Source organism: Homo sapiens, chromosome X (genome assembly GCF_000001405.40).
Source record: "Homo sapiens chromosome X, GRCh38.p14 Primary Assembly".
In the NCBI taxonomy this organism is placed as follows: Eukaryota; Metazoa; Chordata; class Mammalia; order Primates; family Hominidae; genus Homo; species Homo sapiens.
In genome coordinates, this window is record NC_000023.11 from 69,068,476 (window position 1) to 69,082,597 (window position 14,122).

At 51.0% G+C, this 14,122-nt stretch overlaps 1 long non-coding RNA gene across 6 annotated transcripts in view; it reads right to left on the reverse strand.

The window, feature by feature from the left end:
* LOC105373242 (uncharacterized) overlaps nt 1–14,122 on the reverse strand; it is a 53,390-nt gene that overhangs the window by 37,356 nt on the left and 1,912 nt on the right. For 4 of the 6 annotated variants that reach the window (XR_005647090.2, XR_005647091.2, XR_005647088.2 and 1 more), the window contains 2 exons: nt 12,272–13,096; nt 11,437–12,147 (listed from right to left, as the gene is read on the reverse strand). This is a non-coding gene — a long non-coding RNA (uncharacterized LOC105373242). Of the gene's footprint in view, nt 1–11,436; nt 12,148–12,271; nt 13,097–14,122 lie in introns of those variants that run through there. The other 2 variants (XR_007068260.1, XR_001755876.1) reach the window with 2 other exon arrangements.

Here is a 14,122-nt window from a genome sequence, read left to right on the forward strand (position 1 = left end):
GGATGGGAGCTGGGGCCAGGGATCTGGCCTGAGGCGTCCCAGCTGTGGCTGACTCCTGGTCCCCACTTGCTCCTCCCTGCCTTTGTCTCCCTCTCCCAGCCTTTTTCCTTCAGGGCCCACAGAGGAAAAGCAACACCATCTGTATAGCAAAATAGGGGGAGGGGCCCTGGAGGCTAGGGCCTCCTCAGGCCTCACTTTGCCTCCCTGAGGGCTGAGGGGGTGAGCACCCCCAGAGACCTATAACACATGTGGCACAACAATAATTGGGAGGCTCTGTCCCCAAACACTGCTGCTTGGGATGATCCCAGCCTGTTGCCAGAGCAAGTCCGCAGCTGGGAGGGAGGGCTCCAGAATCCTAGTTTGGCCCTCGCCTTTCTCCTTGGGTCCTCAGTTTCCCCAGGGTTTTATTGATGGCCCAGCATGCCTAGCCCACTAGCCGGGAAGCCATAAGGAAAAGGACCCAGGGCCATTGTGAGGCCCATCAGGCCCCTTCAGTTGGCTCTGAGTAAAGGTGGTCAACCTTCCCCACTTCCTCCTGGACCTATCTGCACACCTGCCTCCTGCACCCTCTGCCCTGTCCTTACTCTCACTGAGGCCGCACCATCCTGACGTGCTGCCTCCTTCCAGCCACCACCTGTCCATCAACCCGAAGTTCCAATCCCTCCCTTCTCAGCCAACCAGGCCCAGGGAAGCCAGGCTTCCGGGCAAGAGTTCAAAACCTCCATAGCTGCCACCTGCCCAAGCCCAGGGAAGGGTCCTCGGGCCCCCCAAGGAAGCTTCTTCCTGCCATCCAAGCTTTTTCTACTAGTCCGGCTAGGCTGTACAAGGTCTGCTGAGCCAGCCCTTCTCTGCTCTCCTTTGCAGGCCTGGATCAGGCAATGGCCAGGGTGAGGGTGCCTCCCTCCCAGCCAAGATACTTCCCACATTTTACCCAGCAATCTGGGAGCCTCTAGCCATATCTTCTCCTCTGGGCCCCACAAGTCAGGGGCAGTGCCAGCTCAGCCACCAGCCAGCAGCCCTGCCCTAGGCTCTAGATAGGACTCTAAAGCTCCCCATGCTTTAGGGAGGTGAGCTTTCAGGTTCCAGGCCAAAGTGTGTGTGTGTGTGTGTGTGTGTGTGTGTGTGTGTGTGTGTGTGTGTGTGTGTGTTTGTCTGTCTGTCTTACATCCTAGCAGTAGAGCACTCCCAGAGCCATGATCTTTCCATTGGGAAGGAAGGTGACAGGCTCTGCTCTCAGAGGGCCTGAGGACAATATTTGGCCTGGTTAAGTGGAACAGCTGCTTCAGACCAGGAGAAAAGAATTCTCCATCCCAGCCAAAATGTCTCTATTTAGGGGGTTATAGGATGTGAGGAGAGGTCCAAAGCCCATTTACTCACTTCCTGGGAGGGCAGACAGACCAGAACATTCTTCATGACATGGGAAAAGGGCTGCCTCATCCTAGCCCCTCTGCCCTGCAGAGGCTGGCATGGTGGCCCTCCTGGATGGTTAGGTCACTCAGGGATGGCATGGAAGGGAGACAGGTCCCAAAGGATGCAGAGAAGTGACCTATGCCAGCCTCTTTCTACAAGTAGGAGCCTTCTACATGTTTTCTGCCCGCTGTCAGCCCATATTTGGTCCCTTGGCTGGCATTTGTTCCCCAGTTTGAGCTGTAACCCAGTCACCAAAGGAGGACCCATGCAGTCTGATCACCAAGCCTAAGTTGAAACACTATTCCCATTCTCTCTACGCATTTCATACCTTGGAACATCGAGGCCCAGTCAGTAGGAATGGCTGGGTCACATCTCACTCAGTAGAGGCAGGGCCTTCAGAGGCCCCAAGTGACCAGAGTCTTCAGTTTTCCTAAATAAGTGTCACCAGCAGTGGAGAGAAGTCCCCAAGTCCCATCCCAGGACTCACTCAGCATGGCTATGGCCTTTATCTTTGTAGCGCATGTACCCACAGGATGCCCGTGTGGCACCTGCCCGGTAGCCAACTGACTTTCTTTCTTTCAAAGAGTCAGTGTAATATTGAAAAAAGAAATCAAGTTTGTGACTCCTGGGTTTGAATCTAAGATCTGCCATTTCCTAACTGTGTGACATTAAGCAAGTCCTTTAACCTCTGTGAGCCTCCACTTTCTCAACTACCAAAATGAAGGTAATTACTACTGCCTGCCTGCCCTGCCTACCTTGCGAGCCCCACATCAGGGAGGGGGTGTTGGTCATTTACTTGTCCACTGAAAAAAGACTAATCAGGCACCTACTATGAAAAAAGACTAATCAAGCACCTACTATGTGCCAGACACTGTTCTGGGGCATTAGGGTGCTGCAGTGAAGAGAAGAGACAAAGTCCCTGCCTTTGAAGAGTGCCCTTTCTAGAGAGGAGAGACAGTCAGTAAACAACAAATATCTAATATAACATCAGCTGTGATAAGTCCTATAAAGACATGGCCAAATGAGGGGGCAGAGGGTGATGGCAGTGGTGCCCTGGCTCTGACTGCCTCATCTTTCTGCCCACCGGATGCTGACAGAGCTGCCTTCTCCAGCGTCCACGTGGCTCCTTCCTTATGAGTGGCCTAGCCAGGCAGGCAGAGCAGGACTGATCTGGAAACCCAGTGGCCTGGCCTATTTCTGTCCCAGGGCCCTGGCACTGATCCAGCCCAGATCCCAGCCTCCCTCGCTTCCCCAGCTCCAGTTGAGTTGGGCAGAATCCCATCTCTGCTCTTCCGTCCCACCAATCTCTGCAGCCACCTCCCAGCAGCCAGCCTGGGCAGTCCCTTCAGCCTGGTTCCCTCCCCCCAGCTCCCCATAGATGCGTCCCCGCCCTCACCCTGTCTCCTACACTGGGTGCAATTGGGGCTGCCTCCCTCCTCCACCCACGAGCTGGAAGGCAGCCCCTCAGAAGCAGCTGGGGCTCCACTGAGCTGGTACTAATGCTATCTCCTACGAGGAGGGAGGAATGAAATGGTCTTGGCTTCTCAGAGGCCCTCAAGAGCTCAGCCCTTCCTCCACCAGCCTCCTTGCCCGGGCTCCGCAGGACACAGTGGTCTGGTGGGGGATGGGTCACTCCAGGCAACAGAGGGAGGTTGGGGTGTCCTCAAACTAAGAAGAGGCTGAAGTGGCAGAGCAAAGGGATTTCTCCACTGGGCCCCACACCTCTCTGGGCCTTCCCTCGGCAGATATGTCCTGGGACTAGGGGCAGCTCTTATTGTCCCTTTTAAATGTGTTTACATTTCCGTTTTGATGATTTAACATTGATGAGGCCACTATGTACTGATGAAATTTTTGAGAGTTTTTTTTTTTTCTGTTTGCAAAAGTTAATCAGGCTCATTACAGAAAGTTTGGGAGGTACAAAAAAGTATAAGGAAGACAAAAATAACATTTCCCACACCTAACTATCCAGATATAATTCCTGTTCACATTTTGGTTTATTACCTGCTGCCATTTGTCTATGCCTATCTCCAGAGCCCTGTGTAGCTATATTAATACCTATACACACAGATACATTTTAACATACTTGAGAATATATATGCTAACAACAGTTAACACTTATTGTATGCCTACTGTATGCCAGACCCTATTTTCTGCACTTCACATGTATTAGCGAATTATTCTTCCCAACAACCTTAGAGGTAGGCATGATTATTAAGCCCATTTTATTTCTAAGGAGACTGGGGTAAAGGGAGGTTGAATGTCCAACCCAAGGTCATGCATCTAGTAAATGGCAAAGCTGCAAAATTAACACAGACCGTCTTGACTTCTGGAATCTGGGTGTTTAATGATAGACTGCCTTAAAATTTTTTAAATGATAAAATATATTATACATACAAAAGAATGTATGTAACGCTAACACTGTTTAAAGGCTGGGAATAAGGTGAGCATCTGTGGTATCACTGACCAGGTTATGAAATAGAGCATTACCATGGGAGTGTTTTGTTTTCTTTCTGCTTCACCAGATATCAGGCACGTGTTTCTATATCCCTCCAAATTTTCAGATAATGTGGCTCATTACTGTCTAATAATGAAGTTTCTTCCCCACAGGCCTCCAAAACCTCCCTGATAGCTTCATCTGCCAAAGACTCCTGGTGAGCCACTGGGGTGCACTTCTCTAGCCCTTCCAGGATGGGCCCCAGGACACACAAAGGCTGGCTGGCTGGGATTGGTGGAGGCACAGGCAGCCCTGCACACAGCCTGCCTCTCCTGGCATCAGGTACCATCTCAGCCCTGCAGGCACAATTTTTATCTTGCTGATGTCCACTGGCCAGTCCTGCTGACAGATGGGGGAGGACAGGAAGAAGGGGTGAGGAGAGGAAGGGAGGAAGTGTGAGCTCGCTGAGATGGGGCCTAAAAGGCACTGAGAGCGCATAGGCTGGCTGTTCTCTCCGGCTCAGCAATAGGACCCAACATGGGGGTGTTTCCTTCAAACCTTAGAGATAGATACTAAGCACCCCCATCCCAACGGCTGGATGGCATTCATTCGTCCTTTCCTTCAACATTTTTTCCTTGGACATCTACTATATACAGTGCTGCGTTCTGGGGCACAGTGGCAGAGGAGACAGACACCATTGCCTCCCTCCTGGAGGGTTTAGTCAGTGGGGGCTGGGGTACAAATGTTCAATGACTAATAATCAAATAAAGATTTAGTTACAGTTAGGATGAGTACTCTGAAGGGGAGGTGCAGGCTGCTAGGAGGGCATATGACAGAGGTTCGTGACCTAGCCTGGGGGTCAGGTCTGGGTCGGGGAAGCCCTTAAGAACCTGGCCTACCTCCCCTCCTGCAGGCAATGAGTGGATGGACGTGGGAAGGGCAGACACAGCTCCTATCCACCTGAAGTCACTTTCAAGAGCCAGAGTCTGCTGGCTGGTGGCCCTCGACTTTGGCCAAGCTGAACTGGGTGGTTTTTCTCTCTTCTCCATTATTCTACACTCACTGCTAGGGGAAGGCTTGGCCCTGCTTCTTTGCTGTGTCCTCCAGGCTAGTGGCAGATTCTCTGAATGAGCCTGCTGAGCAACCATCAAGGCACAAACTGCCTCAGTGAAGCACCACTTAGGTGACTGGGCACGAGGGTGCCAGGGCCTACCCACACTCAGGCTCTCCTGTGGGCCCGGCCCATGTGGCCTTGATCCTCACAGTATGCCAGACCCTATTTTCTGCACTTCACATGCATTAACAGAATTATTCTTCCCAACAACCTTAGAGGTAGGCATAATTATTAAGCCCATTTTATTTCTAAGGAAACTGAGGTAAGGGAAGTTAAATGTCCAACCCAAGGTCATGCATCTAGTAAGTGGCAAAGCTGGAAAATTAACACAGACCGTCTTGACTTCTGACCCAGGCTCAGCTTTTGCCCTACCTGGGAGCCTCTTCTCCCTACTCTGCCCCCATGTAAGTGCCTGGGCCCTGAGGAGAGGACACTAGCCTTCCCTCTGTTCCTGAGGACACTGGGAAAAGAAAGGCTGAAAGGCTGGTGTCCAGGGCCAAGCCTGACTCGCCTTTGGGGCCCCAGAGTGCAGAATGAGGTCTCTCCCTCCTCTTGCCCATCCAGCCATCCTTCTGGAAAGTGTTGAGCCCAATGCATAGTGGTTAAGACACAGGCTCCTTTGCCAGGTGGCCAGGGTTTGAATCGTGGTTGTGCCACTTACTAGTTATGTGGCCTTGGGCAAGTTACCTAAGCATTCTAACCTCATTGTCTCATCTGTCAAATGGGGATGAAGATGGTGGTAACTATATCATAGGGTTGGCACAAAGATTAAACAGATTGTTTGCAAAGTGCTTAGGACAGCACTTGACACTAAAGAGTAAATATAATGATTGGCTGTTTGTAGTTTTGCTGTCTCCCAGGGCCTGAGGTGACAGACAAGTGTTGCTCTGAGTCTTGCTTTGGACATTTCCAAGCAAAGTTATTGCCTTTGAGTGTGGAGGCTGAGAATAGTTGATTTTTTTTGCCTTGTCAGAGATCCATAGAGCCTGCAGCTGAAAAAACCCCAGAAACCATCCAGACCAGCCACTAACATCCCCCTACCTCCCACCCTTGCTCAATGAATGAGAAACTGAGGTCCAAGAAGGAGGCAGGACTGGCCCAATGTCACAGACAGTAACAGCAAAGGGGCTATGAACTTGACCTTTTAGTCACAGCTCTAGTCTAGCCTGGTTGCTAAGTAGTCAAGCTTGGATTCAAACCTGGGCTTTGGCACTTGAGAGTACTTAATGACTGTGTCCCTTAAGCAAGGGCTTTAACTCATAGGAGCCTCAGTTTCCTCATCTGTTAAATGGGGATGATAATATCTACCTCACAGGCTTGTTGAGAGGATGAAGTGGAACAACGCATGTAAGTGCTCACTGTGGGGCCTGGCATAGAGTAATGCATGTTTGTTAACATTCTTGGCTCAAGGGCTCTTTCACTGCACCAGCCTGCAGGTGCTGATGCCCAGGTGATGCCCACTGTGCAGGCCAGGCAGACCCAAGGGCTCACCAACTGACACCGTGCCCCTCTGACCAGGTCATTCTTCCCCTCTGGTCTCAGGCCCTCTGTGCCTGCTGTTAAGGCAGCCTGACTGGCTCAAACTGGACTTATCAAGGGCCAGGCTGGCTTAGACACACTTGAGTCGAAGGACACAAGTGATGCCAGGCAGTGGTGTGGTGGTTTCATTCATTCTCCCTGCCCTAGGGAGAAAACACGGCTTTCTCTGTATTTGTTTGTGTTTGTTTTTGTTTTTTTTTTAGAGGCAGAGTCTTGCTCTGTCATCCAGGCTGGTGTGCAGTGACATAAACATAGCTCACTGCAGCCTTGAACTCCTGGGCTCAAGTGATCCTCCTGCCTCAGCTTCCTGGCTAACTGAGACTACAGGCACATGCCACAATGCCTGGCTAATTTTTTATTTTTAATTTTTGTAAAGACAGATGTCTCCCTGCCCAGGCTGTTCTCAAACTCTAGGCCTCAAGCAATCCTCCTGCTTCAGCCTCCCAAATGCTAGGACTACAGGCGTGAACTACCACGCATGGCCAACTATGTGTTCTTTTTTATGCTGGGGCTGGCTGGAGACCCAGCTTCCTCAGATGCCCTTTCTGGGGTCCCTTTGAGCCAGTGCTGGTCCCCTCAGAGGCCAGCTCACAGGCCAGGAGGAGTCAGAGCCATTTGACCAACAGGCAGACACAGAATGCTTGTTCCAGCAGTTCTCCACCCTGTATATTAGGCTCATCATGCTGGGAGCTCTGAAAATGCCCATGCATGGGCTCTATCCCCTAGACTCTACTTTAATTAACCTGAACTGGGTCTGGGACACAGACATTGTGTAGAAGCTCCACACATGTTGAGTTTGACAGAGATGCAGCCAGGGGAGTGAGCACCTGTGCAGTAGGTGATTCCAAGATGCTTCAGCTGAGGTTCTTGGCCTCACGAGGCTCCCTGGCTAGTGGGAAGATAAGACAAGTAAGGAAACCATGACCAGACAAAAGGATGTACATACTGACAGGGATAGAAAAGCATGCTGCTAGCACCAATGTGCTTTTCCTGGGCTACCTCACAAAGGAAGTGACATTTGAACTTGACTCATCCATGCAGTCAACATTAAGGGACTATTTATTGAGCAGTTACTGTGCATCAAGATGGTTCCAGGTGTTGGGGGTGCAGCAATGCCCTCCTGCAGCTTCCATTCTAGCAAGGATGCCCTGTGACGGGTCAGTGGGAATTTGGCAGGCAGGGAAGCTGGGGAAAGGTATTCCAGATAAATGAAATATCATGAGCAAATGGGTGGGAGAGAGGAGGCCTTGCTTTGACAACAAAGTTTGATATGGCCAAAGCCTTAGCATCAAAAGAGGAAGTGGTAAAAGAGAAGAGATCTGGATATGGCCCAGCTGATGGGAGTGGGTATGCATAGGCTCTGCTAAGGAGCTGGAATTTATACTGCAGACAACAGGAGCCATGGCAAGGCTGTGGGCAAAGGAGTGGCTTATGTTTAGAATCATGACTCTGGGGCCATGTAGAAGAAGCTAGGTCGCTGGCCCATCCTAGGTGACTCTTCTGACCCTTCCTCAGTCAAGATCCTGAAGTGTTGATTTCCTCTTGAGGGAGGCCCCATGTGAGGCCAGGATTGGAGGCAACGAGCAATGAGCACAGCAGGCATCTGTTGAGTGCACTCTTCCAAGCACTGTGCAGGCATTAGCTCATTTAATCCTCATGACAGCCACCCAGGTGGGCACCATCATCAGCCCCGTTTTGCAGATGGTAAAACTAAGGATCAGAGAAGTTAATCCATTTTCCCAAGGTCACATAGCTGGCCAGTACCAGAGCCGGGATTTGATTCCAGGCAGTTCACACTTTAAGCACTATACTACACTGCTTCATAAAACACCTATTAACTTCAAGAGCTCTCAGTCTTGAAGGAATGCCATGGGGGTATCATCACCTCAATTCCTCCAGGAAGGCGAGGGGTACTCTAACCTCATGTTGAGATTGGGGTTTGTCCTCTTGAGTAGAAAGGCCCTCACTGGTGCAAGGCTGGTCCTGACCTGTTGGTAATTTCAGGCCTGGACCAAATGAGATCCTTCAGGCTGTGACCACCTTGCCAGTCTTGCCTGACACCCTTATGCTAAATGACTTCTCCTCAAACCTCTCTGGGGCAGTTTGGAGGAATACAAGAAGGATGTGTGGTCTTTCCACAACTGGCATGGTTCTTGACACAAAGCAGGGCAAGTTGGAAGTTGAATGAATAAATGAGTGAACAAATGAATGAATGGTGCATCGAGCTGAGCCCCCTCAGTGGCTCTTCGCAGGCAGTAGAGCATAGTGGTTAAGCATTGGCTTTTATGTCAAGACAGCCTAGGTTCAAATCCTGACTTGAATGATTACCAGCTAGGTGGCTGTTTCTGAATCTAGGTACCCCACCTCCTTCTTGGAGCTGTTTGAAGGGTAGAGATAAGAGCTATAAAGCACTTAAGATGGTCCCTGGCATACAATGAGCACTTAATAATTAGCAGCTCATGTTGACTTTCTGGAAGCCTCTGAGAACCTAATAAGCACTTTGGACCATCTCCCTAGAATAATGCACCAAGCTGCCCAATTTTCCATATAAGATCAGGGAACCTCTAAAGACTGGACCCCACCTTTAAGAGTCTGGCTCCAGATGCCCTCATATGAATGATATTGGGAAACACGGTGGTATTTGCCCTTCCCCTCTGCCTACTCCTGCCCTCAAGACCTTTGGAAAGGGGCAGTTTGGGAAGAGGAGTTCCCAAAGGCTTGGGGACAAGGGGAGGGGTCCCTTGCCACAATTCCCCCACAGCCATTGGCATCTTCAGTCTGTCTGACTCCACCCTCTCCTCCTGCCTCTAAAAGCCAGAGATGGGGTGGGTAAGGCTAGAGTGGCTACCGGCTTTAGATCAGCTTGGACAGGGGAGAGAGGTGGGGGGTTCAGGACACAATAAAGAACCCCAGCTGTTGAACAGCCACCCAGGCAGGCACGGGCTAGGAGACCTCCCCAACCGTCTTCTCCTTCACTGTGTAGATAAGACTGCATGTGTCTGAGGAGTTAATAGCCCCATTAGCAGATGAGACAGCAGGCTCAGAGACAGGGATGGGTGTGTGGGGGGAACAAGTGCAGGGCCCCTCAGCTCTTAAGTGATTGAGTTGTAAATGCAACCGGAGCCTGTCTCGTTCCAATGCCCTATTCTCTGCTCCCCACCAGGTTGCCTCAGGGGAAAGGAATGGCTCCCAAGCCAGCTGAGCTCAGCCTCTCGTCCTGTAGGTGGGCATTCAGTGTAAAGGGCCTCAGATACCTAGGCATGGGCACCCACCTCCTGCCCTGTTCAGGTCTCAGGCAGGCTGTACTGGGAGCAGCAGCCACCCATCCAGAGTGGGTGGTGAAGCCGCAGCTGAGTTTATGAAGAGCAAAAGATGACTCCAGCTGCACAGGAAACTCAGTAACCCTGATTATGTGTTTATTCTTTCCCTTCCCTGCCTCCTGTGCCCTCCCTCCCACCTCCTTCTCTTCTTTCTTCCTGCCTCCTCCCTAGCTGCCTTTCCTCCTTCTATCGCCTCTCAAATCTGCCTGCTGCCAGCTGCCAGCTGCCCTCCACCCTCCTCTGCTCTTTTCCCAGCCTCATCCCGGCCAGCTGGTTCTACATGGCCCCTTGTTCTTCCCCTCCAGAGGCAGGGGCTGCCCAAGTACCACACAAAGAGGCACCAAACTTCCATCCCTCTGGTAGAGAGCCACAAAGCTAGAGGCAGCCCTAAAGGTGAGCTTGTCCAGCCCTACTCTCCCCTTTTTTTATAGATGAGGAGACTGAGGCCAGAGGGATGGAGTCAAACAGCTATAACAGAGCCAGAAGTAGAATTCCGGATGCCCATGGCAAGACTTCAGGGGCATCAGTGACATGATACCATGGGTGCTGGAGGAAGTGCCAGGGACTTGCCACCTCTGGGCCATGCTTCCACCAATAGGGCTCAGTACTAATGGACTCCCAGTCAACTCCTTCTGTTTGCCAAGAATCCTAGAGCTACAGACTATCAGAGGCCACAGGACCCATTGAGGTCATCTAGTCCAACCACTCGTCATATTGGATCCAGGGGCAGGTGGGAGCAGACATCAACTGGCCTTAACCCTTGGCCCAGGAAGGAACATGGCACCAGACTCAGACATAGGAGCAAGTCAGAAGTGTAGACACAGCATAGCATTCCAGCCAGCCAGGGTTCGAATCCTAGTTTAACAGTGCATTGGTGGTGAGGCCTTGGACATGTTGCCTAATTCCTGTCTCTTAGTTTCCCACCTTACAAAATTGGGTGATCATAACACTTACCCCATAGGGTAGTTACGAAGATTGCATGGGTTAATACTTGTGAAGCACTCAGAATAGGGTCTGGCGCGTGGAAAGTGACACATACATTTTGGCGCTCACCATTATTCAACTTCATAAGGAACTCTTATATAGCCAACAAAAAAAAAGTGCCCAGTAAGAAGCCTCCATGGGCCTATTATAATGATTCACCAACAATCGAGATTGCCCAGTAGTAGGGCTGAGAGTGTCCACTGTAATGATGCAACAGGGAGGCTATTGCCCGAGACAGTCCTTGCAAGATTTACTTTACTGATTCACTCAGAACAGTTGGAAACTATCAGGTTGAACTGTATGAAATTGTTAATATTTGACCACTTCTGACCTACAAAAATGGTTATTTCACATGGTTTAGCCTAATAGCAAGGTTCATTTTGGGGTGGGTAAGGGATGGTTCAGCCTCCACTCATTTCTTACCTCTTCAGTTGAGGGAAGGGGGTTGCTAAGCATATTTGATTCATTTCTATAAAGAGTCAATAGGTGGTTTCTAGTAGGTGTTTCTAAAGTGCTTACAAACTGCTTCCTTGAGAAGTTGAAACTCCTCCTGGAACCAATTTTGCATTGTGAGAGACCTTGATATATAAAGCCAAGAGGGGATTTTAGCCAAAAAAAAAAAAAAAAGGAAAAAGAAAAAAGAAAAGCAACCTTTATTTTTAGCTGTCTGAAGATGAGTGGTGAGTAATCAATGATATCGATGTCATTTCTGGAAGTCCTGGAAGGCACCAGGGGCCACTGGAGATGGGTTTGAGACACTGGGATACTTCCCAGGCAACAGAGTAGAAGAAAAGGGGGCAGGTCACTGCCATCTCTGCCCTGGGATGGCTTCCAGGTTTGTGGAAAATGGCTCAGGGCAGAAGCATGTGTAGGGTGTGTATGCATCGTCTCTCATCTGTATGTTGCTGCTATTTTTAGTAGTATCAATGACATGCTATGTTCCCTCTGAACCTCAGTTTCTTCCCTATGAGCTCCAGGAAGTCAAAGACCACATCCGTCTTGTTATCACTGAATCCCCAGGACTTAGCACATTGCTGGGCACAAGAAAGCATTCAATAAATATTTTCTGGATTGATTAATTTCTGGTTTCCAGGTGGAAACAATGACATCCTGTGAAAATTCTTTCCAAGAACTTGAAGTGGCACCCGAATGCCTGGGGATTTCATCAGTGTGGTGGCCGTGATGCTGATCAAGGCTCCCCAGAGCAGTTGGGGCCGGAGCTCTCAGAATGATGAAAGCCACAGAAGAGGAAGCTGAAGGAGCAGGACACGGCCACTTTGGAGTCCACAAAATATTAGTCTGTGTCAGTAGCTCCACTGAAGTGTGACAAAACAAATTGAATTTATCTGCAGCAAGAGGGATTTAGGTCAGACCTTCTAGACACTGTGGGGAGGTGAGGCAGGGTATAGACGTCCCTCCCTGAGCAAACAGAAAGCTTCAATTCTCATCACACTACCCCTAACTACTTACTGGCAGTGGAGCTCCAGCTAATTCCTTCACCTCTCTGGGCCTCAGTTTCCCCATCTGTAGCTGGGGGTGGGGGGCAGCGGTAGACTCCACGGTCTCTACGGTTCCTTCTAGCTCTTAAAGTCTGGAATTCTGTCTGGAGGCTGGGCCGAGCTGGCATAACTTCAGAAGGCTGTAGACGGCCATAAAAGTGGTGGGATCCCTGGGGATGGAGAATCCTGCAGGGAAGCCCCCTCCCCCAGCCCTTCACCTCCTGCCCTTTTAACTGCTGCAACCACAACCCTCCCCTGCTCTCCCAGGTTCCTCCTCCCCAAACCCCCACAGCTCTGTCTGGAGGCCCCATTCTCTGACCAGCTTTGTTTGCTTTTAATAAAGTTAATCGCACTCCTAATTTGTATGTAATGAAAAGATAAAAGGGAGACATGGGGGCGAACCTTCCATTGGAGTGGGAGCAGTCCAGGTCCAGGGCCGGCAGCCGCCTCCCCACCTCCGCCCTCACCACTGCCTTGCCCATCCCCGGAGTCTGAGCAGGCGCTGCTGTCTGGGCGCCAGCCCGGCCCAGTTGTCCCTGCAGCTCCCCCAGGGAAGCCTCCTGGGACCTGCTTGATCGGCCTTTCCTGTGCCTTTCGTGGAGGACAAAGAATCCCCACGTGTAAGTCCTGACAGCATCCCACAGTTCACCTTTGTAGGACTCCCCATACTCCCAGCCATTCAGTTCGTTGAAGGCAGGGGCTGGCTCCTGGCTGGGAACACAGCAAGCAGCAGCAAAACTTAATTCCTCCACTCTTGACTGTGTCCTCATTTGGTCTCTGGGAATGCGTTGGATTCCTCAATGAGAACAGAGAAGAATATACTGTAGCGGGTGGAGGGCTACTGATTAGATTTTACTCATCTGTGGGTCAACACTTCTGTCTACTTAGCCCACTCAGCCATTTCTTACCCCCTTACATGGCTTTTCCCTCACAAGCCCCACTCAAATGGTTGGTCACCCCAGGTCCTCATTCTTATCCCAGCCTAAGATCTGGGTGCATAAGTCCCAGCATGCTGAAGCAGCTCTGGGGAGCTGCTCCCACGAGGCCAGTCCCCCACAAAAGAAGCCTGGCTCCCAGGGTTACTCCCCCTGCACCCGCCCACCCCCAGAGGCAGTGTCCATGGGAAACTACCCCCTGTGGTGGTGGTTTGGGGGATGATGTTCATGGGGAGATAGGGAAGGAAACACAGGCTCCCCATGGGGAATGCTCAGGGACACAATTCAGTGAGGACTGTGGCAAGGGATAGAGGCAGCAGGGGTCACCTCTACCTCCAGCCCTTGTTTCAGAGGCCCATATCCCATACCCTTGACCATTCACAATAGAGGGACAGAGGTGAGGCCGATGGGGATTGGGAGTGGCTTAGTGCACAGGGAAGAAGTCAGGCTGAAGAACAAGCAGCCCTTCCCCTGCCCTCCCAGGTCTAGGTCAGGCAGGGCACAGGCTAACCTCCAAACCCAGATGGGGGTATGGAGTCAGCAGCCCCACTGGAGGGGCTCCCAGCATGGCACGCCTGAGCAGCAATCTGGAAGCTATTGGGCTGGTACATTTCTGCCGATCCACCGCGAATGCCATGCCCAGTTCATTTCCTCTAAGGAAACACAACCTCGGGGGATAATTAGAGCTTCTTTGCGTACACAATCCCATATTGTTTATCCAACACAAATTAAAAAATGTGGGCCCTGAGAACATGGAGCAGAGAGATAAAGGAACCTCCTCCTCCTCCTCCTCCTCTACTTCCTCCCCCTCCCCTCTCACTCCCTCCCAGCTGGATCTCATTACCCTACCCGGCCAGGCCAAGGCCAAGCCCCAGCCCCAGCCCCAG